Here is a 27,976-nt window from a genome sequence, read left to right as displayed (position 1 = left end):
ACATGTCTATTTTTGAAAAATCTTTATTGCTTTTCCTGATTGTACAACAAATGTAAAAATTCAAATATTACAAAATGACTTAATTTAAAAAGTACATTTTAACATGTTATAAAATAAATGCCCATTTCAAAAAATTCAAGTATCATAAAATACATGACGTAGAAAATGAGCCCTCTGTAATCTAGCCCAACCCCCGTATCCCCCAGGATTACTGCTGTTCAGATCCGCGTGTTTCCTTCCAGACCGTCTCTGTGCACCCGCCACCCACACGGCTGACATGAGCTCCATATGATCCGAGATGATAGTAACGCTGACCAACGGAGCAGGGTTCAGCTGCCGATGCCCTGAACAGCTTCCAGTTTCTACACAGAAACGCTTTCCTCATAAAAGCCTGAAACTGTGACACAGTTTTGCACTATGTAAATGTATCAGGTTGAATCATGAAATAAATGATCGCTCACCATTTTTGGCCTAGAAAACAGCAGTTTCACGTGGTTCAACGTGATAGCTGTTCAACAGACATTGGGGGGTTTCCTATTTCTTGCCATTATAAACAATTCAGCAGGTCAGGTGCAGTGGCTCATGCCTGTAATCCCAGCACTTTGGGAGACCGAGGCGGGCAGATCACCTGAGGTCAGGAGTTCGAGAACAGCCTGGCCAACATGGTGAAACCCCGTTTCTACTAAACATACAAAAATTAGCTGGCCCTGGTGGTAGGTGCCTGTAATCCCAGCTACTTGGGAGGCTGAGGAAGGAGAACCACTTGAACCTGAGAGGCGGAGGTTGCAGTGAGCCAAGATTGCATCACTGCACTCCAGCCTGAGCGACAGAGTGAGACCCTGTCTCAAACAAACAAAAAAAAAAATCAGCAGTGAATGTCCTTGTATGTTCTTTACGGAGTATAAACATCGTACCCCCAAAGCATGACACCTCTTTTGGGCATTTAGAAGAGTCAAGAGGATGGAGCTGCCCATTTGCCATGGAAAGGGAGACCCAGCAGAGAGCTGATACATAAACAACTTGTCCCTCAAGCAAGGTGGCCAACTTCAGCCATGACACCATTTGAGTATGGTGACCACATTACATGAGCAAACCCAACGCTGGTGAAACCAGAGAACAGAAGAATTCCTCAGCCCAGAGACAATTCTTATCCCTACTGACCCGTATGACCAGGTACTCACAGACATCCAACGAGTACCCCAGAGCTGTCCTCTGGAAGTTGGGCTGTCAGAAGGTATAAGAAATGATTCAGGCTGGGCGCAGTGGCTCACACCTGTCATCCCAGCACTTTGGGAGGCTGAGGTGGGCGGATCACCTGAGGTCAGGAGTTTGAGACCAGCCTGACCAACATGGTGAAACCCCGTCTCTACTAAAAATACAAACATTAGCCGGGCGTGGTGGCACATGCCTGTAATCCCAGCTACTCGGGAGGCTGAGCCGAGATCGCGCCACTACACTCCAGCCTGGGCAACAAAAGTGAAACTCCATCTACAAAACAAAACAAAACAACAAAAAAAACCCCAACAATTCAGAAATGTAATGAAATCAGATTTGGAGGAAACATTTTTTAAGGTTTTTTCCAGGAGCTACTGGAGTGACCAAAAAAACGAAAAACAAAAAAACAAAAAAGGCACCTGTTAAAATGATGCCCACGTCAGGCCTCAAACAAAGACCAGGACGTGGTGTGTACGTGTCACTGGCGTTTCCGCACAGGCTGCTTCCGCTTCAACCTTGTCTGGGGTTTGTAGATTCTGCTTGGGTCACAGTTGAGCTTGTGGGTGGTTTTCTTATGGCAGACAATGTGCACTAGTTTTAGGTTCTCTGAGGTAAAAAGCAGGCCATAAAAATACTCCCAGTCCACTTCTCTTCCATCTTGTTCCTTAATTGCTTCCACCAGTGTAGGAATGATGGTGCGTTTCTTTTCTATTCTGCAAAGTAAGGTTAGAGACATCATTTTCTGTGGTCACAGTGCCACAGGCAACAGGTCATAGCAGTGTATTGCAGTCACAGCTCTTCACAAATTCCCCTAAGTGCTATCACGGACACACGGCCGCACCTACTGGCCAGGTTTGTTGAGCAGAGCCTGATGCAAGCAGCCTGGCTCCTCTTACTTTTTAAAACTTGACTTGTGGCCGGGCACGGCGGCTCACGCCTGTCATCCCAACACTTTGGGAGGCCGAGGCGGGTGGATCACTTGAGGTTGGGAGTTCGAGACCAGCTTGGCCAACATAGTGAAACCCCATCTCTACTAAAAATACAAAAAATTGGCTGGGCTTGGTGGTGGGCACCTGTTATCCCAGCTACTTGGGAGGCTGAGGCAGGAGAATCACTTGAACCCTGGAGGTGGAGGTTGCAGTGAGCCAAGATCACGCCACCGCACTCCAGCCTAGGCAACAAAAGCAAAACACCATCTCAAAAAAAAAAAAAAAAGACTCGTGTCACTGTTCAGAATACTGAAAAGTACGCAGAAAATAAAGGGGGTCAACCACCTTTCCATCACTTACAGTCACCCACCATCAACAACTGGCTTAACTGCCTCCACGTTTCATCTACGTATACATTTACCCCCAAAAAATTACATGATAGAACATGAAAGTTTTACAAACAGAGCCTTACAAAGGAAGCTGAAGTCACTTTTGATACCACTTGTAATCTTATGTCCCTCCTTCCCCTCAGAGGTAATCACTATTAAGGGTTTGCTATTGATCTTTCCAATCCTAATCTTATACCGTTATATGCATATATGCGTATCTGTTTAAGAAACAAATGAGGCCAGGCGCAGTGGCTCACACCTGTAATCCCAGCACTTTGGGAGGCTGAGGCGTGCGGATCACCTGAGGTCAGGAGTTCAACACCAGCCTGGCCAAGATGGCGAAACCTCATCTCTACTAAAAATACAAAAATTAGCTGGGCATGGTGATGCATGCCTGTAATCCCAGCTGCCCAGGAGGCTGAAGCAGGATAACTGCTTGAACCCTGGAGGCAGAGGTTGCAGAGAGAAAGATTGTGCCACCGCACTCCAGCCTGGGCAACAGAGTGAGATTCTGTCTGAAAAAAAAAAGAAAACAAAAAACTACATGAGGCTAGGCGTGGTGGCTCACGTCTGTAATTCTAACACTTTGAGAGGATGAGGTGGGTGATCACTTGAGGCCAGGAGTTTGAGACCAGCCTGGCCAACATGGTGAAACCCCACCTCTACAAAAATGACAAAAAAATTAGCCAGGCATAGTGGCGCACGCCTGTAATCCCAGCTACTACTCAGGAGGCTGAGGCACGAAAATCACTTGAACCCAGGAGGCGGAGGTTGCAGTGAGCCAAGATCGTACCACTGCATTCTAGCCTGGTTGGAGTGAGACTGTCCCAAACACACACGCACACACATACACACACAACATGATGTTGTTTCACTTATAAACCATTTGGAAGACTGTGCAGTAACAAGTGGGGTTTAGAGACCCCACGGCCAGGAGGGCTTATGGTGGGTGTTGAGTGAGCTAAACTGGTGCAGACCCCTCTCCCTACAACCCACAAAATGCTGAGCAAAAGTCGCCTTTTTTTTTTTTTTGAAACAGAGTCTTGCTCTGTCACCCAGGCTGGAGTGCAGTGGCACGATCTCAGCTCACGGTAATGTCCGCCTCCTGGGTTCAAGTCATTCTCCTGCCTCAGCCTCCTGAGTAGCTGGGATTACAGGCGTGCGCCACCACACCCAGCTAATTTTTGTATTTGTATTTTGTATTTTTAGTAGATGGGGTTTCACCGTGTTGGCCAGGCTGGCCTTGAACTCCTGACCTTGGCCTCCCACAGTGCTGAGATTATAGGCATGAGCCACCACACCCAGCCAAAAGTCACCTTGTTAAAATACTTAGTTGAGATCAAAAGAAAGGGGCTCCCCAGCTGCCAGAAACCAAAGAGAAATTAGTGCACACAGGCAAGCTATGGTCCAGGGGCCTACCAGGGTTCCAGTCCCTGATACAGGCCCAGGGGACCCTAGAAAGACAGGGAGGTGGGACCGAGACCCCTGCCATAGCCATTAAGGGGGATAGAAAAGCTTGAGTGGAGCCCGGGGCTTGGGCAAGAGGAAGGGAAACCCACTGAGCCCGTTATCTAATGCTGCAGAAGCAGCCACCACAAAATGCAGTGGCTTCCGGGGGTTGGCCTGGGGGGCCTTCTGCTGGTGTTGCCTGGTGCACACCGGGGCTGTGTCTGATGGAGGGTGGCCTAGGGCTGGGCCCTTCTCCCCTGTCCTCCCCCATCCTGAAGGAGCCAGGACAGGCTCCCTCACATGGCCATGGCAGTGTTCAGAGGGGACAAGTCCCCCACACAAGCAGGCCTCTGTTAGCTCAGTGTTGCCTTCACTGGTGTCACGTGGACAAGCCTGAATTCAGCGTGGGGAGAGAAGGCAGGGGAGCACACAGGGTGTGGACATCGGGAGTGTGTTCCTGTCCCCACCTTCACAGTCATCCGCAGAACGCAGGGTGTACGGCCCAAAGTACACGACCAACAAGGCAGGGAACCACAAGCAAGAAATGGCAGGAAGTTGCTTCCAAGTCACAGGGAAACCCTGGGCATCCGCAGGAATCAAATCCGAACCCACGAAGAGCCATGCTGAAGGGGCACCGTGACACACCGGAGCACAGAGGAGGCCTACAGGAAACACTTCCCACTAAAGCAAGCTCCAGGCCCAAGCGAGCTCCAGGCCCAAGCGAGCTCCGGGCCCAAACACACAGCAGCAGAAGGCTCCACCAGAGCCACACTGAAGGCACCGTGACACACTGGAGCACAGAGGAGGCCTACGGGAAGCACTTCCCACTGAAGCGAGCTCCAGGCCCAAACACACAGCAGCAGAAGGCTCCACCAGCAGGAGAGGCAGACCCAGCAGCGGCAGAGGGCTGCCCACGTGACAGGCCCTTCAGGAGCCCAGCACAGTCCACAAGGACCCTCACTCCTGACACCAACTACAGCAGGGAGGGGTCCCTGAGACCACCTCAGACTCCATAACTCTCTGAAAGGACTCGCAGATCCCCCAGTGAGCCGTTGGACTCAAGGTTATCGTTTCTTATAGCTGCAGATGAAAATCAGCCAAGGTTAAGAGGCACAGAGGGGGCGGTCCAGGAAGGTTCCAATCCCAGAGCTTCCAGCTGTCCCCTCCCTGTGGGGTCATGGCCAGCCCTACCTTCCCCAAGCACTAACTTCCACAGCCCTCTGTGACGACACTGCCAACCAGGAAGCTCACCAGGCCTGGGTGCCAGCCTTTACTGGGGCTCACACAGACATGGCTGATGGCCCATGGGGCCAACCTCCACCTCAAACCCTCTAGAGGTCAAGCTGAACCAAAGACCCCATCCTAAATCACGCCATTAAACTATCCAGTGACCCAAGGCCCCCAGGTGAACAAAGACACTCCTACCAGGCAGGACATTTGAAGGCATTGGCGTTTACCTCCCAGGGCTCAAGAACGAATGCCAGACCTGTGGGCAAGGTTGAATGCTTTAGCATGTGACTGTAAAACAAATATGCTTAAAATGGATGATTAATGATTAAAGTGATTAAAAAGAAATGGAAATAATGAAACCAGACTGGCATAAAAAAGGCTCGTTTTATGAAGAACCCAAAAGCACTTCTTTTGGGCTCTTTAGGAACCCAAAAAAGGAAGCATGTACTCAGCGGACAGAATGAACATATGAACAGCTGAAGAGAGAATTCCTGAACAATACAGGAGTGTCTTAGTGTGCTCCAGCTGCCAGAGGAAAATACCACAGACTGAGTATTTACTCTCTCACAGTCCTGGAGGCTGGAAGAACAGGTGCCCGCACGCCGGGTGCTAGTAAGGGCTCTCCTCCTGGCTGGTAGATGGCTGCCTTCTTGCTGTGTCCCCACGTGGCAGAGACAGAGGGAGAGTGAGCTCCTTTCCCATTTTCTAAGGACACCAGTCCTAGTGGATTAGGGCCCCACCCTCATGACCTTCATTATCTCCCAAAGACCTTATCGCCTGATGCAGTCACACTGGGGATTAGGGTTTCAACATACGAATCTTGGGGAACATGATGGAGTCCACAGCAGAAAGTCCCAGTGAGACAGCAGCCCAGACGCAGGCACAGCATGAGGAGAGCAGAATGAGAAGGTCCAACACACAGCTAACAGGCGCTCCCGGAAAACCGCACAGGCAGAATCAAAGAGAAGCCACACCTCATCAACGCAGAAGCATTTTCCAAAACCAAAGAAAAGTGTGTCCTCAGCACAAGGAATACAAGTCCCAGGCAGAATCCAAAAGAAAGAGCTCTACCTAGATACTTATCATTTTCCAAGAGGAGGAGAAAAATCTAAAACTACCATTAAAAAGGCAGAAAATTAGGCTGCCAACAGATTTCTCACAGATTCCAGAAGACAATGGAGTTATTCTTCAAAGTACTGAAGGTAGGTATCTGTCATCCTAGAATTCAGTACTAACTAAATAATTACTCAAGAGTGGAAGTTGAACGGACCTTTTCAAATGCTGAGTAGAGTTTACCCCTCACAGCCACTCGTGGAAGAAACACTAAGGGCTACACATCAGTAATCAGAAATTGAACCCAGAGATGAGATGCAAGAAGCACTGGCAAACACAGACACGGGTGAATCTGTTGATAAATAAATGGAAGTGTTGGCCATAAAACCACACCAGCATTTTGTGCAGGATTAAAATAAGGTGAGACACGAACACTAAAGAATACCGCAGAGGGTCACAGCGAGGCCGGCCCGGGAGAGGGGACAGCAGCAGTGCCGTCTTCCAGTATCACTAACATTAGGGACACCATGAACGCCAAACCACAAAAGGGTGGGGTGATGGGCAAGGGAAAGAAGGAAACTCAAGTAAGTCAACAGAAGGCACACAAGAGACCAGAAGAAAGTGAAGATGCGGCATGGTGGGTACAAACCCAGAGTAAAGCAGCTAAAATCCAATCTGTATTCACTCAACAAAACGGTCAACAGAGGTTCACTGAGTGGGCTCAGCGTGGTGGCTCACGCCTGTAACCCCAGCGCTTTGGGAGGCTGAGGTGGGCAGATCACTTGAGGTCAGGAGCTTGAGACCAGGCTGGCCAACATAGTGAAACCCTGTCTCTATTAAAAATACAAAAATTAGCCAGGCATGGTGGCAGGTGCCTGTAATCCCAGCTACTCTGGAGGCTGAGGCACAAGAATCACTTGAACCCAGGAGGCGGAGGTTGCAGTCAGAGGAGATTGCGCCACTGGACTCCAGCCCGGGCGACACAGCAAGACTCCGTCTCAAAAAAAAAAAAAAAGATATTCACTGAGTAGCCATCATGGCCAAACTCTGTCCCACGTCCCACACACTGGGGACACAGCTGAGAGCGAGGGACCCCACAGAGTCACATTCTAGGAGACAGCAGCTGTCACAACACCTGCAGCAGGAGGTTCAAGCTGCGGCTGGCTGAATGACAGAATCTCAGGTTAGATGAAGACGAAAGGCTGTTACCCTTGGCTAACAAGAGATAAGCCCAAACCTAATGGCACATAAAGGCCAAAGGAAAGGGGTGGAAACGCCACAGGACCGAGAGAAAGCCGGCACAGAATAGAAAGCCGGCACAGAATAGAAAGCCGGCACAGTGGAACTGAGGTGCTGAGTGTTATGAACATCTACAAACGCTGACCAGTTACAAGGAAACAGACCACAACGAAAGGCAGGCAGGAACACAAGACACTGAACACAAACACGAAAACATGCTCGGAAACTAAAAAGACTTCTGTAAAATCCATGGATCAAAAACAAAATCATAATGTAAATCATTCAGTCTCAAAACAACTCCAGCCAGGCGCGGTGGCTCACACCTGTGATCCCAGCACTTTGGGAGGCTGAGGCGGGTGGATTACTTGAGGTCAGAAGTTCGAGACCAGCTCGGCCAACATGGTGAAACCCCGTCTCTACCAAAAGTACAAAAATTAGCCAGGCGGGGTGGCACGCACCTGTAATCCCAGCTACTTGGGAGGCTGAGGCATGAAAAACCGCTTGAACCTGGGAGGCAGAGGTTGCAGTGAGTCGAGATCATGCCACTGCACTCCAGCCTGAGTACAGAGTGAGACTCTGCCTCAAAAAAAAAAAAAAAAAAACTGAACTCCCAAGACACAACTCATGCAGCCTAGGAGGAACTACCTTAAGTATAGATTAGATACAAAAGAGACACGAACAAATGAATAAGCAAGAAGAAACCCACAAAGGTAGAAGGTAGGAATAAATTTTACAAAAAAGCAAACGTTAATAAAGTGAAGTAAAGGGCCAAAGACGGCCAAAGACAGCTGTGATGAGACAGAAAGGAAAGTTCCCCAGCGGCAGGGCTCACACAGGCCATGAGGACCCCGCTATGGTGTTAAAAGAAACGTCCCCAGGGCTCCAGGAAAGGGGAGCTTTCCAGGCCCCACCCGCCACAGCCCTCCCACGGGAGGCAGGATTCTTCTGGGCTGAGGAGTCAGGTCCACCCAGAGCCCACACGGACGCTCCTCGTGCCACCTTCCGCCCAGGGGCCCCTGAACCGCATGGGCTCTGGGCCAGGCCGTCTTCCTCGGACAGGCTGAGCCCCAGGGCCCGCGCCCTTCAGCCCGAGAGGGAAGGTGTTCCAAGCCTGGACGCTCTCTGTGCAGGCCCCTGGTGTGAGGTGGCACTAAGGGTGGGAAGAGAAGGTGCAGGCAGCAGGTGGCAGGCCATGTTTAGGCTCCACTGCTGTGCACATCCCGGAACTGGGGAAGACCTGCAAATTCTTCTCGAACCTTCCCAGCCATGATGCTACGTAAGTCCAGGTAGGGGGACAGCATGCATTTTATTTCATTGTTCATTAGCTTTTAATTCTTAAATAATTAAACATGTGGCACGTGGTGTCAACCCCCACAAACGTCAGGACAGGCCTGTGGCAAACAGACCACTGTCTCTGCAACTTTCCGAAGACCGGTGCTGAAAACTACATTTTTAATTAAAACCCAACACACTTATCTGTGTGTGAGTATACATATTTAGGAAGCGTGAGAGAAAATATAACCGCAGCAAACACTTGGTGAAACATTCCTCTGACTCACGCTGTCCCTTCTGCTATTTTCATCTGTACTCTGTTCTAGGATGGCCTATTTCATTCTGTAAATGCTGATTGTGTCCCCTAGATTGATGTCCCCACCTGCAATGGTCTTGAAAAGGACAAGAGCATTTGGATGGCGGGGAGAAAACATTTTTGGGTACTTGTTGCATGTGGCAAGGGGTCCAGCAAACAGCAGAGAAAAGAGTAGGAGAATCTCTTTCGGATAGACAGGGTAGGGCAGGATTTCTTAACATACAAAGGGAACATCTGAGCACATTAACACTGAAAACTTGTTGTGGGCCAGGCACAGTGGCTCATGCCTATAATCTCAGCACTTTGGAAAGCCAAGGTGGGCAGATCACCTGAGGTCAGAGTTTGAGACCAGCCTGGCCAACATGGCAAAACCCCATCTCTACTAAAAAAACACAAAAATTAGCCGGGTGTGGTGGTGCATACCTGTAGTCCCAGCTACTCGGGAAGCTGAGGCAGAAGAATCGCTTGAATCTAGGAGGTGGAGGTGGCAGTGAGCCGAAATCACACCACTGCACTCCAGCCTGGGCGACAGAGTGAGACTCCATCTCAAAAAATAAATAAATAAAACTTGTGATAAAAGATATCATAGGATTAACGTATCCAGAATGTGTAAAGCATGCCCACAAATAAGACCATAGCCCAAGAGAGAACGAGCAAAGGAAAGAAACACAGAAGACACAAGCGGCCACAGACGTGGAAAGAGAAGCTCAACCTTCCTAGTCATCAGGAAAATGAAAATTAGAGAAAGAGAATCTGTGTCTCACCTATCGGGTTGGGAAAATGCAAAAAAGTACAATGACACCAAGTGTCAGCAAGAACCCGGGAAAGCATGAACTCACACGGATGGCGAGTGTGTAGGCTGGGACACTCGAGAGCAGCCTGGCCAGGCTCAGAGAGGGAACAGAGGTGTCATTAGGACCCAGCACACTCACTAGAGGGACTCAAGCTCAGACACTGGGGCATCTTGTCCATGCTGGGACGCACACCCCAATCCCCAGGCACCTGGGTTATGTCTGGATGGGGCCTGAGAATCTGAATTCCCAGCTCCCAGATGTTGCTAATGCTTGAAAGTAACCACACTTTAAATAGCACGGAACCAGACCATATGGGTTCATTCCATAGAGTGTTCATCCCAGGGATTTTTATAATGATGAGAAATTAGAAATAACCTAAATGCCTCCCAGTATGGAAAGATGTTAAAATTAGAGCCTATTCAAAAAGTGAAGTGTTCTGCACCTGCTGAAATGAATATGCCGAATCTAAGCACAGCATGCAATGAACAGGTACACTGCACACGACAGCGTGGGCCGCCACATATGTACATGTTAAACCCACACGCGTGTGGTAAAGGTGCAGCTACACGGCTCTGCAGACGACAACGTGGGCCGCCACGTATGTACACGTTAAACCCACACACGTGTGGTAAAGGTGCAGCTACACGGCTCTGCAGACCACAGCATGGGAGGCCACGTATGTGCACGTTAAACCCACACGCATGTGGTAAAGGTGCAGCTACACGGCTCTGCAGACCACAGCATGGGAGGCCACGTATGTAGACGTTAAATTCACATGCGTGTGGTAAAGGTGCGGCTACACGGCTCTGCAGACCACAGCATGGGAGGCCACATATGTGCATGTTAAACTCACACGCGTGTGGTAAAGGTGCAGCTACACGGCTCTGCAGACCACAGCGTGGGAGGCCACGTATGTGCATGTTAAACCCACACGCGTGTGGTAAAGGTGCAGCTACACGGCTCTGCAGACCACAGCGTGGGAGGCCACGTATGTGCATGTTAAACCCACACGCGTGTGGTAAAGGTGCAGCTACACGGCTCTGCAGACCACAGCGTGGGCCACCACGTATGTGCATGTTAAACCCACACGCGTGTGGTAAAGGTGCAGCTACACGGCTCTGCAGACCACAGCGTGGGAGGCCACGTATGTGCATGTTAAACCCACACGCGTGTGGTAAAGGTGCAGCTACACGGCTCTGCAGACCACAGCGTGGGCCACCACGTATGTGCATGTTAAACCCACACGCGTGTGGTAAAGGTGCAGCTACACGGCTCTGCAGACCACAGCATGGGAGGCCACATATGTACATGTTAAACTCACATGCGTGTGGTAAAGGTGTAGCTACACGGCTCTGCAGACCACAGCGTGGGAGGCCACGTACGTGCATGTTAAACTCACACGCGTGTGGTAAAGGTGCAGCTACACGGCTCTGCAGATGACAGCGTGGGCCACCATGTATGTACATGATAAACTCACACGCTTGTGGTAAAGGTGCAGTGAGAGGGCTCTGAAGGGCACACACACCTTTCACAAGTGTTTTCCCTCGGGGCAAGGTGTAGAGGCTGAGTATGGACAGGGTAAAAGCTCAACTATGACCATAGTGTTTTACATACTTTAAAAAAAAATCTCACTCCGAAAGCAATACAGGTTGAATGTCCCCATCTGAAATGCTGGGGACCAGAAGTGTTTTGGATTTGGGATTTTTTTAGGATTTTGGAATATTTACATTATACTGACTAGCTGAGCATCCTTAAAAAAATCCCACATCTGGCCGGATGCAGTGGCTCACACCTGTAACCCCAGAACTTTGGGAGACTGAGGCGGGCGGATCACCTGAGGTCAGGAGTTCAAGACCAGCCTGACCAACATGGAGAAATCCCGTCTCTACTAAAAATACAAAATTAGCTGGACGTGGTGCCACGTGCCTGTAATCCCAGCTACTGGGGAAGCTAAAGTAGGAGAATCGCTTGAACCCGGGAGGCGGAGGTTGCGGTGAGCCGAGATCACATCATTGCACTCCAGCCTGGGCAACAAGAGCAAAACTCCATCTCAGAAAAAAAAAAAAAAAAATCCCAAATCCTAAATGCCCGGATGAGCATCTCCTCTGAGCGTCATGTTGGTCGCAAAACGTTTTGAATTTTGGAGCACTTCGGATTTCAGGTTTTCAGATTAGGGATGCTCATCCTGTACAGCCATTTTAAGGGCATTTGAAGGCTTCTGTCTTCAAAAAGCAAGGGCAAGGCTACAATTATATTCAAGGAATGCATCTCAGTTTAAAAGAATGAAGTTTTCCATCCTGCCCATTTGTTAGAGCCATAGAGCTCGTACGGCTGTGAAACACTCCTGCCTGCTGAGACTTCTGCTCATGCTGGTTCCACAAAATAAGCCAGCCAGGCATGGTGGCGAGCACCTGTAGTCCCAGCGACTCAGGAGGCTGAGGCAGGAGGATTGCTTGAGGCCAGGAGTTCAGGGCTTCAGTGAGCCATGATCCTGCCACTGCACTTTAGCCTGGGCCACAGAGCAAGACTCCATCTCTAAAAGAAAAAGAAAAAGGGAAAAACACCCTTACCTATCATAACACCAGGAGCTCCCGCTGTCTGAGCTCACCCTGGTTCAAACTCACAGAGGTTCAGAACCTCTGACAGCCAAGGGCTGGGACCTGTGTTCTGGGGAAGGACGCTGCCCACCAGCTCCATCCACAGGGAGGACTGGAGGGGACAGGAGGGCTGGCTCCGGGTCAGGTACACATGCTGACAGTGGAGGGAATGGTGTGTGCCCACTCAGCAGCCCCCTATGCTGCCATCAGGTACCCCTTCCCTGGGCTGTAACACGGGTGCAGCCCTTGAAACCCAAGGAGGCAACACCGTGGCAGGGACAGGGCCGTGGCAGGGACAGGGCCATGGCAGGGACAGGGCCACGGCAGGGACAGGGCCCTGCAGGCACTCGTGGGTCTGAACCTCGCTCTGTGAGCTTACATGTGATCCAGGTTCCAGGTGCTGAAGAGGATCCTGCTCTCCCTGTTACTGTAGGGGTTGATGGAGTGTCTTGATAAGCAGCTGTCCATGTCAAAGGGACCCTGGGGGCCAAAAGACAATGAGGGAAGGCCAGAAAGTGAGTCTCTTTTTTTTTTTTTCTTGAGACAGCGCCTCGCTCTGTCGCCAGGCTGGAGTGCAGTGGCCCGATCTCGGCTTACTACAACCTCCGCCTCCCGTGTTGAAGCGATTCTCCTGCCTCAGCCTCCCGAGTAGCTGGGACTACAGGTGCCCGCCATCAGGCCCGGCTAATTTTTGTATTTTCAGTAGAGACAGGGTTTCACCTTGTTGGCCAGGATGGTCTCGATCTCTTGACCTCGTGATCCGCCCGCCTTGGCCTCCCAAAGTGCTGGGATTACAGGCGTTGAGCCACCGCGCCCGGCCAGAAGTGAGTCTCATACAGTCTCAGTCACCGAGTGACATGCTTTGGACGTGCAGCCCCACCCAGAGCTCATGTTGAAATGTCAGCACTAGTGTGGGAGGCGGGGCCTGGTGGGAGGTGATGGATCCTGGGGGTGGATTTCTCATGAAGGGTCTAGCACCATCGCCTGGGTGCTGCCCACGCCAGTGTGAGTCCTCCTGAGATCTGGCTTAAAAGTAGCACCCTCCCCTCAATCTCTCTCTCGTTCCTGCTCCCCGCACGTGAGATGTGCCTGCTCCTGCCTCCCCTTCCACCACAAGTGTGAGTTTCCTGAGGCCTCCCCGGCAGCTGAGCAGATGCCAGCGCCATGCTTCCTGTACAGCCTGCTGAACCGTAAGCCAATTGCACCTCTTTTCTTTATAAATTACCCACTCTCTATTTCTTTATAGCAATGCGAGAATGGCCTAATACACCAAGTCAGGTGATCTTACTGAGAGACGCACCCCGTGGGGGCTGGTCCCTGCTCCAGGGTATACTGCTTTAGGGAGATTCAGAGTTCTGCCTTGGCCGGGCACGGTGGTGACTCATGCCTGGAATCCCAGCATTTTGGGAGGCCAATGTGGGTGGATCACCTGAGGTCAGGAGTTCCAGACCAGCCTGGCCAATATGGTGAAACCCCATCTCTACTAAAAACACAAAAATTAGCCGGGCATGGTGGCGGGCGCCTGTAATCCCAGCTACTTGGGAGGCTGAGGCAGGAGAATCACTTGAACCTGGGAGGCAGAGGTTGCAGTGAGCCGAGATCGCACCACTGCATTCCAGCTTGGTGACAGAGCGAGACTCGTCTCAAACAAACAAACAAAAAAAAAGCTCTGCCTTTGGAATCAGATCCTTCTTTTTCCCTCATTACCCCTAACAATATGTTCTGAGTTCCCAAAGAGGACAAGGTAGTTATTGTCACTGTTACCCGTGTGATCACACACCAGCACCCCCACCTCATGGGAAGTGAGGCCAGGAAGGTACTGACTTGCCAGGGCAGGACCAGCGCGTGAGAAGCAAGGACCCATGTCCCAGAGGCTCCCTTTCCAGCCATTGCCCGCGGCTTCCTGATGTTTCCCTGTGATCCCAATGCAGAGGCAGGGCTGCCTCACTGAAGGTGCCATGGCCACAGCTTCCGTCTTCCCTGTGGTCCGCAGCCCAGCACTCAACACACTCATTCGTGAACAGACATCTGCAGAGCACGTGCCGGGAGCCCCAGTGCCTACTTGCACTCTGTGCCCCCATCACCCTGGGGACTCACAGCCTCCCCAGCAGAGCCCACTGCTTCCCACTGCCATGCCCGGAGCACCTGGTCCCTCCCAGCTCACTCTTGCACCCCCACCTATCAGTCAACCTGCTCTAAGGCCCCACCCCCTCCCTGGGGCCGCTTCTGACTGGCCCTGGCTCCCAGGATGCTGGCTGCGGCTCCTGCAGCCCCTTGGCCTCCTCTGTCTCGCTCATTTATGTGTCTTTCACCTTCCATTGTGCAGGACTCACCCTGCCATCAGGGATGAAGGATTTTTCATTTTTGTGTCCCAACCCCTCCCACAGTGCCAGGCACAAAGTAAGTACTCACTGAGTGGTGAGCGAGCGCACTGCAAAGTCTAAATGTTAAGCTAACTTGGAAGAAGCGTTTTTATGGCCAGAGCCCATCACCCCAGAAGGATCTGCCTGGCAGGAGCAGCAAGGAGCCCTGTCCCATGGGAAGAAGCACCGCAGGCCATGCCCACCACCTGGCCCCTGCTGCTGGACCCACTGAGTGGCACTCGGAAGATCACGGGCATCAGTGGACCTTACCGGGAATGCAACTGCAGTGTGCAAACGCCAAGAGGCGCCTCAAGTTGCTCCCCACACCATGGGAGGGGGAGGGGTGTGCCCAGGACTCGCCAGAGACACAGATGCATCACCACTAAAGGCCAGACCACGCCTAGCACGGTGCAGCAGGGACACCTGGGAAGGCAGCGGGGGAGTGCGGACCTGATCTCAGCTTCCAGCCTCCAGAACTATGAGCAGTAACCAGCTGCCGTTCCAGCCTCCCCAGCAGGGGTCATCTGTTATGGCAGCCGGGGCTGACTAAGACACCGCCCAGCACTACCGAGACAAGCCCTGGGGCGGGCCCTGCAGCCCTCTGCAAGCTCCCCAGGGATTCCTGTGTGCACTGCAGCTTGAGAGGCACTGGCTGAGACACTGCCGCCCTCCCTGGGAATGTGAGGGCTGTACCTCTTCACAAGGCTTTGCCCAGGCAGGGCAAGGGCTGAAGGTCCCCACCCGCCTCGCCCCAGGCGGGCTGTGTTCCACAGGCCAGCCGGGTGGCCCCAGGATAAAGGGCACACAGCTCACCTGGCAGGAGAACCAGCCTTCCGGTGTGCAGAGGCGGCTGCCGCCCTTGGCTCCTCTGTCGAAGTAGCTGCCATTGTACTGCATGGACCGGAGCCTCTGGCACATGGAGCCGAGGACCCGCAGGAATTCCTCCTGAGCCTCCGCACCCACCGTGGAGGGGTAGGAGCTCACCTGGAGGAACCAAGGAACGTCGGTGAGCCTGGTGCACAGCGCCCCAAAACCCGCACTGGCTCTCGATCCATCTCACTCCATGGCCCTCTGAGACCCTGCCCAAGCCCAGTCCTGTGGTCAGAGGGTCTGAGTTCACGTGGCCTCTCGGCCACTGCTGGGCTGTCCCACCCTGGGAGACTCTGACCTGTGAAATGGAGGGAACCACACCAGCCCCCAGGCTGGGTGAGACTTAGATGAGATAACAGGCTGGGTGTGGTGGCTCACGTCTGTAATCCCAGCACTCTGGGAGGCCGAGGTGGGCGGATCACTTGAGGTCAGGAGTTTGAGACCAGCCTGACCAACATGGTGAAACCCCATTTCTACTAGAAATACAAAAAATTAGCTGGGCATGGTGGTACATGCCTGTAATCCCAGCTACTTGGGAGGCTGAGGCAGGAGGATTACTTGAACCTGGAAGGCAGAGGTTGCAGTGAGCTGAGATTGCACCACTGTACTCCAGCCTGAGCAACAGAGTGAGACTCCGTCTCAAAAAAGAAGATGAGCTAATAAAGTCAGGCAGGCACGGCCATCCCACCCTGGTCAGGCAGGCAGTGGTGCGTGGAAGGGCCTGGTCATTGCACTTGCAGGGAAGAGTATCAGGATCAGTTAGCTCCACTACAGGGAGCAGGCTGGGAAATGCAAGGGAACATGGCAAGTCGCCAGGACCTCGAAGAGATGCAGAAAAACGGGGTGCAGTGCAGCATTAGCAATTGTGCCACAGAGAGGAGTGGGCCGAGGGCGTGGGGGCCGACCACGCAGGGCAGCACTAGGACAGGACACCCATTGCAGGGGCCTCCACAGCACCCTCCATGTGCTAATGATGCGGTGTGGCATGGTGTGGAATGACGTGGTGTGGCCTGGTGTGGTGTGGCCTGGTGTGGTGTGGCGTGGTGTGGTGTGGTGTGGCCTGGTGTGGTGTGGCTTGGTGTGGTGTGGCCTGGTGTGGTGTGGTCTGGTATGGTGTGGTATGGTGTAGCGTGGCATGTCATGCTATGTGATGAGGAAATCCACATTCGATGGGGTGGATGGAAATGAGGGCAGAGCTGACTCCACCTTTGGGAGGGAGGAGGGAGCGGTGGAGAGGTTTGCAGACCAAGGATGGGCTCATGGGAAGGGCCTCAGATCCCTGTAGCACCTGCTGACCTTGGTCACAGTTGGGCAAATGACAGCTCAGGCTCTGTGTCTGCCGTGACGCTTGCCACTGCTGCCCAGGAAGAAGCCTCGGGGGGAGAGGAGGAGAGGAGGGGAGGCAGGCAGGAGCCACCACCTCCCCGCTCCCCAACCCGTGACCTCAAGTGCAGCTGAAAAGGCCCGATGGGTGTTCACCCCCATGAAGGGAGGAGGCACAGGGTCCGTGCGCTAGCTTCCCTCACCAGAGCAGCCCCACCAGATCCACGCAAGCACGGAGTGTGGTCCTACCAACTACCCATCGTGAGGACCACAGGCTTCCAGAGCCCACAGAGCCTGGCTTCAAAAACCCGCCCAGCATACCCGGTCTTCACTCAGGCTCACCTCCCTCAGGTAACTCCGGATCCGGCTCTCACAGCTGTATCTCAGATAGCCAGACTTGCTCTGAAATCGGGACTCCAAGCCTGCAAGGAAAACGAGAAGACCCCCAAGTCCACAGGGCAGGCCAGGGGCCTCTGGGTCTGTGTCCTGCCCAGCCCAGGTGCCAAGCAGGGCAGAATATGAGGGTCATACTGCTTCATCTTTTTGACAGGGTCTTGCTCTGTCCTCCAGGCTGGAGTACAGTGGCACGAACACAGCTTACTACAGCCTTAACCTCCTGGGCTCAGGGAATCCTCCTGCCTCAGACTTCCAAGTGGCTAAGACTACAGGGACGCACTACCACACCTGGCTCACTTTTTAAATGTTTTTAGAGATGAGGTCTCACTTTGTTACCTAGGCTGATCTTGAACTCCAGGGCTCAAGCTGTCTTCCAGCCTCGGCCTCCCAAAGTGCTAGGATTATAGGTGTGAGCAACGACACCTGGCCAGATTGCATCATCTTGAGAAGTATTCTAATGGCGACACAGACAGCATCCCTGTTTGGTTTTTGTTGTTAGAAGCATCTCAAATACCACCAAGGAGCTTCTGCCTGGCCCTCAAGCCCTCCTTTCCCAAAAAGGCTACAATCTCTCAGCATCGCCTCTGATGGGCTTACAAGGCCAGGCCAAAAGGTGGAAGCAACCCAAGTGTCAGTGAATAGACAGTGTGGTATCTACACGCAGCGGAGTGAACAGACGGAGCGTGGCATGTACACGCAGTGGAGTGAATGGACAGAGTGGGGTATGTACACGCAGTGGAGTGAATAGATGGCGTGGTATGTACACGCAGTGGACTGTCATTTGGCCTTAAAAAGAAGGAAATTGGCTGAACGTGGTGGCTCACGCCTGTGATCCCAGCACTTTGGGAGGCCGAGGCGGGCGGATCACGAGGTCAGGAGATTGAGACCGTCCTGGCTAACACAGTGAAACTCCGTCTCTACTGAAAATACAAAAAAATTAGCCAGGCGTGGTGGCAGGCACCTGTAATCCCAGCTACTCGGGAGGCTGAGGCTGGAGAATGGCGTGAACCCGGGAGGTGGAGCTTGCAGTGAGCCAAGATCGCGCCACTGCACTCCAGCCTGGGCAACAGAGCAAGACTCTGTCTCAAAAAAAGAAAGAACTTTTGATATACGCTACGATATGGATGAACCTTGAGGACACTGTGCTGAGTGCAATAAGCCAGTTACACAAGGACAAATACTATGTGACTGCATTCATATGAGGTCCCTAGAGTCATCAAATCAGAGAGACAGAAACCGGAATGGTGGTGGCCAGGGGCTGGCGGAGGGGGAAGGGGGAGTGATGTAACAGGGACACGGGTTCAGCTTTGCAAGGTGGAAGGAGTTCCGGAGATGACGGTGGGGATGGCCGCATACAATGTGACTGTACCTAATGCCGATGACCTGTGCACTAAAAAAATGATTGAGAAGGTAAATTTTATGTCATATGTACTTTAGCACAATTTTTAAAATAATTATAATAGGCCAGGCGGGGTGGCTCCCGCCTGTAATCCTAGCACTTTGGGAGGCTGAGATCAGAAGTTTGAGACCAGCCTGGCCAACATGGCGAAACCTCATCTCTACTAAAAATACAAAAATTGGCAGGGCGTGGTTGCACTTGCCTGTAATCCCAGCTACTCGGGAGGCTGAGGCAGGAGAATCGCTTTAACCTGGGAGGCAGAGGGTGCAGGGAGGCAGAGGTTGCGGTGAGCCAAGATCACGCCACTGCACTCCAGCCTGGGGGACAGAGCAAGACTCCATCTCAAAACATATCTATAAAAATATAAAAAGTCCCATCCGAGGGCTGCCCTGGACTCTGGCCCCACCTGAGTCCTTGCTGGGTACCTTTCCCACGAGGCTGGGAAATGCTGGGAAATGAGCACATTTTCTTCCAAGTCCCCCACCTCAACCCACGAGGGTACAGGCCAGCCCTTCACTGGGGGCTTTTTGGAATCCAACTTCTTCTGGCACCTCAGGCTCCAAAGAAGCCTCTCCCCTGCCAGCTGCAGCCCCCACGCACCTTCAAACCACGGCGGGTCCTCAGCCCGGGTCTCGGCCGCGATGTTCTGGCTGACGTTGTGCAGGAGGTCAGCCAGCAGCCTCTGCCTCTGTGGGGCCTGCTCATCACACAGCAGCTGCTGGGCGGCCTGGATGAGCCCCACCTGTGGCTCGTGAAATGCACTGAGGAAGCGCCTGATGTCGCTCACATCTGCCACCAATGGGACAAACAAAAGGTGCCGGTCCAGCAGAAGACACATCCTGCCCCGGTCACAAGAAGAGCCTCTGACCACATCTTCCCCCATTCCCCAGGGCCTGGCAATCACCAGGACTCAGACTTGAGGTGTCCCGGGTCTTTGTCCTTGCCCTGACACCAACAGCTGGGGACCACGCACAAGGGCGGCATGAGGACAGAGGAGGGAGGGGCAGGGTGTGCTTTAGAGGACAGATGAAAGCGCACCAAGAGACGGCCGCTTTCCCATTTGGCCTCCTCCCCTCCAAACCATACGCCCCCCACTTTGGCCCTTCCTGGAGACCTTGCTTTCAGATCCTTCCGATCACTTTTCCTACTCTCTCCTGGAGCCTTTTCACAACTCCCTAAAGCAGCGAGCTCTCCGGGCAGGCTCTTAATAGGAAGTTAAAGCAAAGTCTACCCAGGACCTTAACAAAATGTTAGCAAAGAGAACTCAGTAACATGCACAAAGAAATATCACCACGGCCAAGTGGGAACGCAAGGCTGGTTCACACCTGCAAATCGATCAGTGCGATCCACCATATGAGAAAAGCCTCACGATCACATCAGTGGGTCAGAAGAAGACAGGAGGACATGCTGGGGAGTGAGGACTTGGTGGAAGTCCTTAGACCTAACATCAAAAGCACTGCGTAAAAGAGAAAATCAACACACTGAGCTTCCTCAAAACTAAAAACTCTTACTCCGCAAAAAAAAAAATGCTCTTAAGAGAATGAAAAGCCACAGGGTAAATATTTGCAAACCACATGTCTGACAAAGAACTCATGTCCAGGTATTTTGTTTGTGGGGTGAGGCGTGACTTTCAAAACTCAACAGTAAAAAAATAGATAAATAAGCCAATTAGAAAAAGGACAAGAGACAGGAAGAAACACTTCACCAAGGAGAATCTACAGATGGCAAATAAGCACATAAGAAGATATTTAGGGCTGGGCGCGGTGGCTCACGCCTGTAATCCCAGCACTTTCAGAGACCGAGGTGGGAGAATCACTTAAGGGCAGGAGTTTGAGACCAACCTGGCAACCAAGACCCCATCTCTAAAAAAAAAAGCAAGACCCCCATCTCTAAAAAAAATCATAATAATTAGCGGCACATGGGGGTGCACACCTGTAGTCCCAGTTACTTGGGAGGCTGAGGTAGGAGGATCGCTTGAGCCCAGGAGTTCAGGGTTGCAGTGAGCCATGATTGCCACTGCACTCCAACGTGGGCAACAGAGTGAGACCCTGTCTCTGTTTTTATAAAAGATATTCAGATAGTCAGCATTGTTAGCCATTAGGGAAATGCATATTAAGGGCACAACGAGACATCACCACACTGCAATCAGAATGGCTAAAATTAAAAACAGCAACAGCGCCGAAAGCTGGCGAGGCTGCACAGAAACTGCGCAGTGGAAAGGTAAGACGGCCACTCTAGCACACAACTTGGCAGTTTCTTTTCTTTATTTTAAGTAGCTTTATTGAAATATAATTCACACTCCTTATAATTCACCCATTTAAAGTGTACAATTCAGAGGCCGGGCGCGGTGGCTCACGCCTGTAATCCCAGCACTTTCGGAGGCCGAGGCAGGCAGATCACAAGGTCAGGAGATCGCGACCATCCTGGCCAACATGGTGAAACCCTGTCTCTACTAAAAATACAAAAATTAGCTGGGCGCAGTGGTGCATGCCTGTAACCCCAGCTACTCGGGAGGCTGAGGCAAGAGAATCGCTTGAACCCAGGAGGCAGAGGTTGCAGTGAGCCGAGATCGCGCCACTGTACTCCAGCCTGGGGAGAGAGCAAGACTTCATCTCAAAAAAAATAAATAAAATAAATAAAGTGTACAATACAATGGGTTTTATTATATTCCCAGAGTTGTGCAGCCACATCCACAGTCAATTTCAGAACATTTTCACCACCTCAAAAAGAAACCTCATACTCTTTAGCTACCAACCTCCCTCCCCTCTACCCTACCCCCAACCCTAAACAACCACTAATCTATTTTCCATCTCTCTAACATCCCCGTTCTGGGTATTTCCTATGAATGGAACCCTACTGTATGTGCAGGCTTCTTGACTTGGCATGGTTTCAAGGCTCGGCCATGCTGTGTTTCATTCCTCTTCATGGTGAGTACTTCCATTGTATGGATGTGCCACACTCTATTGATCCAAGTGTTCATCATTGGAGACTTAGGTGGTTTCTACCTTTTGGCTATTATGAATAAAGCTACTGTAAACGCTCACGGACGAGTTTTGGTGTGGACGTGTTTTCATTTCTCTTGGGTACATACCTAGGAGTGGAGCTGCTGGGTCACATGGCGATTCTGTGTAATTGTTGAGAAACTGCCAGACTATTTTCCACAGCAGCTGCACCGTTTTCCCTTCCCATCAATGGGGCCTGAGGGTTCCAGCCGCTCTGCATCCTCGCCCACACTGGTTGTTATCCTAGTGGGTGTGAAGTAGCATCTCACTGTGGTTTTGATTTGCAGTTCCCTGACGACTGATGATCTCAAGCACCTTTTCCTGTGCTTACGACCACTTGAATATCTTCCTTGGAGACATTTCTTTCTTTTCAGAACCTTTGCCCATGTTTAATTGGGTTATCTTTTTACTATTAAGTTATAAGGATTCTTTATATATTCTGATGCAAGTCCCGTATTAGATACATGATTGGCAACTATTTTGTCCTATTCTGTGGGCTGTCGTTCACTGCAGCCTCCACCTCCCCGGTTCAAGCAATTCTCCTGCCTCAGCCTCCTGAGTAGCTGGAATTACAGGCGCCTGCCACCACGCCCGGCTAATTTTTGTATTTTTAGTAGAGACGGGGTTTCACCATGTTGGCCAGGCTTGTCTCAACTCCTGACCTCAAGTGATCTGCCCGTCTCGGCCTCCCAAAGTGCTGGGATTACAGGCTTGAGCCACCGTGCCCGGGCCAGAGTTCTTAATGTTGATGAAGCCCAATTTATCTGTTTTTTCTTCTGCTGCTCATGTTTTTGGTGTCAAATCTAAGAATCTTTTGCCAAATCCAAGGCGATGAGGACTTATCGCTATGTTTTCTTCTAAGGGCTTTATATTTTTAACTTTTACATTTAGGTCTTTCATTTATTGTACTTTTTGTATAAGGTACCAGCTAAGAGTCCAACTTCATTCTTTTGTATGTGAATATACAGTTGTCCCAGCACTATCTGTTGAAGATACTACTCTTCCCCCTCCGTTGAATGGTCCTGGCATCCTGACCACAGATACATAGATTTCTGGGTGCTCTGTTCTATTCCATTGATCTATATATCTGTCCTTGTACCAGTGTCAGTCTTGATTACTGTGGCTTTGTACTAAGTTTTGAAATCAGAATATGTGGGTCCTCCTACTATCTTCTTTTTCACAGTCGTTTTGGCTATTCTGGGTCTCTTGCAATTCCATATGAACTGTGGATTAGAATCAGCATGTCAATTTCTACAATGAAACCAGCTGGAATTTTCATAGGGATTGTGTTGAATTTGTAGGTCAGTTTGGGGAGTCCCACCATCTTAACAATGTTAAGTTTTCCAATCCATGAACATGGGATGTTAATCCATTTATTCAAAACTTTAATTTCTTTCAACAACATTTTGCAGTTTTCAGAATATAAGTATTACAATTTTTTGTTACACTTATCCTAAGTATTTTATTCTTTTTGATGCCAGTGTAAATGGGATGATTTTCTGCTTCATTTTCAGATTGTTCGTTGGAAGTGTATTTCTATATTTGCATATGATCTTATATCCTTCAACCTTGCTAAACTTGATGATTAGTTCTAATCACTTTTTAGTGGATTCCTTAGGGTTTTCTACATACAAGTTCATATGATCTGCAAATAGAAATAGCTTCACTTCTTCCTTTCCAATCTGGATGCTTTTTATTTTTCTTGCCTAAATGTCCTGGCTAGACCCTGCAGTACCATGTTAAACAGAAGCAGCAAGAGTGGACATCCTTGTCTTCAGAAACTAAACACACACCACACAACGCAGCACTGTACTCCTGGGCATTCTCCCCAGAGGCATGAAAACCTACATCTCGCAAAAACCTGTCAAGATGGCCAGGTGCGGTGGCTCACGCCTGTAATCCCAACACTTTGGGAGGCCAAGGCGGGTAGATTGCTTGAGCCTAGGAGTTATAGGCCACCCTGGGCAACATGATGAAGCCCTGTTTCTACAGAAAATACAAAAATTAGCCAGGCATGGTGGTGCACCCCTGTAGTCCCAGCTACTCAGGGGCGGAGGTAGGAGGATCGCTTGAGCCCAGGAAGTGAAAGCTAGAGTGAGCTATGATTGCACCACTGCACTCCAGCCTGGGCGACAGGGTGAGACCCTGTCTCAAAAGAAAACAAGAAAGAAAAAAGAAAAACTTGTACATAATTGGCCAGAGCAGCTTCATTTGTAATAGTCAAAAACTGGAAACAAACAAAATATCTTTCCACAGGCGAATGGTTGAACAAACTGTGGTAAAACCAAACCATGGAATGCTACTCAGCAATGAAAAGGAACGGACTATGGATACACACAACTTACATGCATCTCGGGAGCCTTATGTGGAGTGAAAAAGGCTCATCTCAAAAGGTCACATACTTTATGATTCCACTTACCTAATATTCTTTTTTTTTTTTTTTTTGAGATGGAGTCTCAGCCTGTCACCCAGGCTAGAGTGCAATGGCACAATCTCAGCTCACTGCAACCTCCACCTGCTGGGCTCAAGCGATTCTCCTGCCTCAGCCTCCTGAGTAGCGAGATTACAAGCGCCCGCCACCATGCCCAGCTAATTTTTGTATTTTTAGTAGAGACGGGGTTTCACCATGTTGCCCAGGCTGGTCTTGAACTCCTGATCTCAGGTGATCCACCCACCTCGGCCTCCCAAAGTGCTGGGATTACAGGTGTAAGCCACCGCACCTGGCCCCTAATATTCTTTAAATGACAAAATTATAGACATGGAGAACATATCAGCAGTTGCTACGGGCTAGGGATTGCTGGTGGGCAGGGGTAGGCAGGATTATAAAGGGGAGAACCTTGAGTGATGGATGGGAGAGGGCTGTACCTTGACCCTGATGCTGGTCACAGGAATCTACATGGGGAGAAATGACAGAACAACATGCACATTGCACTAGTGTCGGTGTTCCTGTTTTATATTGTACCACGGTTGTATCTGATGTTGCCTTTGAGGGAAAGGGTAGAGGTACATTGGACCTTCCTATCTGTGCAACTTCCTGGGAATCTGTCATTATTTCTAAATAAACGGTTTAGGCCAGGCACAGTGGCTCATACCTGTAATCCCAGCACTTTAGGAGACCAAGGCAGGAGGACAGCTTGAGCCCAGGAGTGTGAGACTATCCTGGGAAACATGGCGAAACCCTATCTCTACAAAAAATACAAAACAATTAGCCAGACGTGGTAATGCATGCCTGTGGTCCCAGATACTTGGGAGGCTGAGGCAACGGGATCACTTGAAACACGGAGGTCGAGGCTACAGTGAGCAAGGTTTGTGCCACTGCACTCCAGCCTGGGCAACAAAGTTTCAAAATATAAATAAAACAAAAATATTTTGGCCAGGCACAGTGGCTCATGCCTGTAATCCCAGCACTTTGGGAAGCCAAAGTAGGAGGACTTCTTGAGCCCAGGAGTTTGAGGCCAGCCTGTGCAACAGAGGGAGACCCCATCTCAATGTTTTCATAAAAGAAAAGAAAAAAAATTTTTTTTAAGTCTAACAAGGAGGAGGACTAGCGGTCTCAGCGAAGAGAGGAGGATAAAGCGCCAGAGAAAGGAAGGACAGAGAGAGAGAGAGACAGAGACAGACAGAGAGAGCCAGAGACAGAGACAGAGGAGAGAGACAGAGACTGCGAGATGCAGGGAGAGACAGAGAGAGAGCAACGTGCTCTGCTGTCTTTCAACTATGCCCTGAAATGGGAAAGAAAGATAACATCCAAAGGTGAGGCATACCCTGAGCATACCCCTGCCCAGCCCCCACCTCCTGCAGGGGCCACCCCAGGGGGCATCACAGTGATACATTTTCCAGCTGCCTCCTCTAAAAGCACAAGGCCCAGTGGAGAAAGGGGGTTTGCAACCTTGGAGCACACACCAGAGGCGTCACCCCTCAATGCTGACAGTGGAGCCCCCAACACTGTAGCCGGGGAGGTGGCCACATGGATGTTACTCTTCGACTTCTCTCTTTTTGCCCCTTAGGCCAAGGAGCCACAGCTCCATCCCTCAGAGCACCCATGTCCTTCCTGGGCTGCCAGAAGCATCTCCTGGAGCCTGACCCCATTTGCACAACACTGGCCGACCCTCCCAGGTAAAGGCACATGATGGCATCTCCTGCCCCAGTGGCCAAAAGCTCTCTTTTACGGGAGTCAAACAAGCGCAGACCTTGGCATTCGGCTGGTTCTGAAAGGCAGGACTTTGTGTCCTGAGGCTTCAATACAGATGCCCCGAAAGAACCACCTCTCAAAGCAATTGCCCCCAAACTTGAGCCCTGAGGACAGCATCTTAGCAAACACCAACCGAGAACAATGTGAGAGCATCCCACGAACCACCACCTCGTCCTTCCAGAAGGGTGCTCAGCCCAGCAGAACAGAACAGCATCTCTTCCTGGCTCCACCTTCCCCATGAAACTGTGCAGGCCCCAACCCCAAAGCCCTCCCTCTGCTCTTGGGAATTGCTAGGACACCTCAAATGAACGCAAATAAAATTAAAAGATTTTTTGAAGAAAAAGACGACCAATTGAACAGCTGGGTTCATGAACGAGAGGACTGAGGACTCTGCCACCTAAGCGACGCTGACCAGTTCTGCCTCCAGAGGGCTTCCTCCTTGAGACCCGAGAGTTCACAGTAAGGGGGACTCTTCCCCACCCTGATGGGCACCTGGAGCTAAGCCCCCAGGACCTCGGAGAGTGCCAGCTTCCCGCCCACCTCCAAAGTCCTTGCCACTCACAGCCCTGCCAGGCCTGGCCCAAGGTGAGCAGCACCAGCTCGGCGTTGTCGGGAACACTGGGGAAGTAATCTTCCGTCAGCTCCGTGCCATCCTCGTACAGGCACAGCCGGGAACCGCGCTCAGGGAGCTGCAGGGACGGGAGAAGCAACAGGAGGAGGAAGGGTCTCAAGACGAGGGCTTTGCATCTGCAGGCCTCACAAACGACCGGAATGAGCTGTGCTTAAAGAAGCAGGCTCAGGCTGCCGCCTGTATGCCACAGTCGCTCCAACGCCCAGGCAAGGATGAGGGAGCGGGAGCAAGGGCGCCTGACTGCGGGCCGTTCTAAAATACGAAGAGTCAGGAAAAACATACATCAGGGGGTGACTGCTGGCTCTGCAGGATTCACCCTTTTTAAATGAGCTCCTGAGGGCGCTTCAAATAGAGCCTGTCTTTGACAGCGCCGCCTCCCTGCTGCCAGGAGCTGAACACCACCATCCCCAGCACACAGCCGCCAGAGCGGTGCTGGCACACGAAGGAGAACGGTTGGTTGCCTCTGTGCACAAGTGTGACCGGCACGTGGCACTGTTAATTTGTTGGAGTCCGGTTCCCTGTTACTCTGCACTGGTCAGTTTTAGGCATTTTATGGCTACTCCCACCCCACCCGCACCGACCCCGGCAATGCACACCTGGTAACCCTAGTACTGGTCTAAAAAGAAAACCAACCTAGAATAAGGTGACGATTGCAATCCCCAGCTGCGAGGGCTGGAAGGGGCCTGCAGAGCCCACCTAGCCAAGCCTTTCATGTTACTCAAGGGGAAGCTGAGGCCGGACAGGCAGAGCAGCCGTGACCCCGCGTGCCAGTACCTGGCACTCTACCCGGGTCTCCTAGCTCTGATGCAGGGCTGTCCTGCCCGAGAGGTGGGAAGAGGGAAGGGGTGATCCAGGTCGTCCCCCAACCCCCCTGCGTTCTGAAGCCACGCTCAGGAACCCCAGGCTGCGGGGGCCCGGGGTCCTAGCGGCTGAGGCGAACGAAAACTACCCGCCCCGGGCGCCGCCTGCACCCTCCGTTTTGGAAGAGGAAAAGCGGCACCTCCTATTCTCCCCACACGCCTCCCCGACGGGCCGTCCCCGCCTAGCCCAGCGGGCACCTGGAAGCGGAGACAGCCCTTGCGCAGCACCTCCTGGCAGCTCCGGCCAGCCACGCCGAACTTCCTCGGGCTGCGCAGGGCCCGCAGCTTCACGCTCTTGGGCTTCTGGAGCATTGCAGATGTCCTCAAGCCCTCTGGGTCCCACAGGCGGTGGCACCTGCTGCCCAGCTGCTCAGATCCGTCCTCGCCCTGGCCGCAGGGGTCTGCACCTGGTGAGCTCTGCAAGCTGGCACAGGCCGGGTGCCGATCCCGGAAACTA

At 51.6% G+C, this 27,976-nt stretch overlaps 1 protein-coding gene across 15 annotated transcripts, besides 4 other annotated features; it reads right to left on the bottom strand.

Annotated features, from left to right (window-relative positions):
* Positions 1-5: 5 nt before the first annotated feature.
* Positions 6-27,959, bottom strand: DFFB (DNA fragmentation factor subunit beta). 15 transcript variants are annotated; one of them, XR_946563.3, is made up of 8 exons: positions 27,718-27,959; positions 26,569-26,717; positions 19,435-19,673; positions 17,382-17,461; positions 15,660-15,830; positions 12,863-12,963; positions 1,635-1,928; positions 6-397 (listed from the first exon to the last, which is right to left on the bottom strand). XR_946563.3 is itself a non-coding variant. In NM_001282669.2 (7 exons), the coding sequence occupies exons 1-7, from the start codon at positions 27,829-27,831 to the stop codon at positions 1,694-1,696; spliced, it is 1,089 nt and encodes a 362-aa protein (NP_001269598.1). In that variant the 5' UTR covers positions 27,832-27,959; the 3' UTR covers positions 6-1,693. The 15 variants fall into 15 exon arrangements, 8 of the variants coding, with proteins under 8 accessions (NP_001269598.1, NP_001307061.1, NP_001307065.1 ...); NR_104222.2 differs by adding an exon at positions 19,037-19,151 and having other exon boundaries at positions 6-1,928; positions 19,435-19,623; NR_135151.2 differs by adding an exon at positions 24,929-25,015 and having other exon boundaries at positions 6-1,928; positions 19,435-19,623; positions 26,591-26,717.
* Positions 14,268-14,470: a silencer, noted in NCBI's record as "fragment chr1:3787529-3787731 (GRCh37/hg19 assembly coordinates)". NCBI's record gives its function as "represses an EF-1alpha promoter that drives an FKBP-Casp9 reporter gene in an ReSE screen in K562 erythroleukemia cells {active_cell/tissue: K562}" and the evidence as "EXISTENCE:reporter gene assay evidence [ECO:0000049][PMID:32094911]".
* Positions 15,216-15,510: an enhancer, noted in NCBI's record as "tiled region #4254; HepG2 Activating non-DNase unmatched - State 15:Elon". NCBI's record gives its function as "activates a minimal TATA promoter and a strong SV40 promoter by Sharpr-MPRA in HepG2 cells {active_cell/tissue: HepG2}" and the evidence as "EXISTENCE:reporter gene assay evidence [ECO:0000049][PMID:27701403]".
* Positions 27,078-27,127: a silencer, noted in NCBI's record as "silent region_127". NCBI's record gives its function as "represses an Ori minimal core promoter by ATAC-STARR-seq in GM12878 lymphoblastoid cells {active_cell/tissue: GM12878}" and the evidence as "EXISTENCE:reporter gene assay evidence [ECO:0000049][PMID:35858748]".
* Positions 27,738-27,917: an enhancer, noted in NCBI's record as "active region_67". NCBI's record gives its function as "activates an Ori minimal core promoter by ATAC-STARR-seq in GM12878 lymphoblastoid cells {active_cell/tissue: GM12878}" and the evidence as "EXISTENCE:reporter gene assay evidence [ECO:0000049][PMID:35858748]".

Source organism: Homo sapiens, chromosome 1 (assembly GCF_000001405.40).
Source record: "Homo sapiens chromosome 1, GRCh38.p14 Primary Assembly".
Lineage (NCBI taxonomy): Eukaryota > Metazoa > Chordata > Mammalia > Primates > Hominidae > Homo > Homo sapiens.
This window is presented reverse-complemented; position numbering and strand designations above follow the sequence as displayed.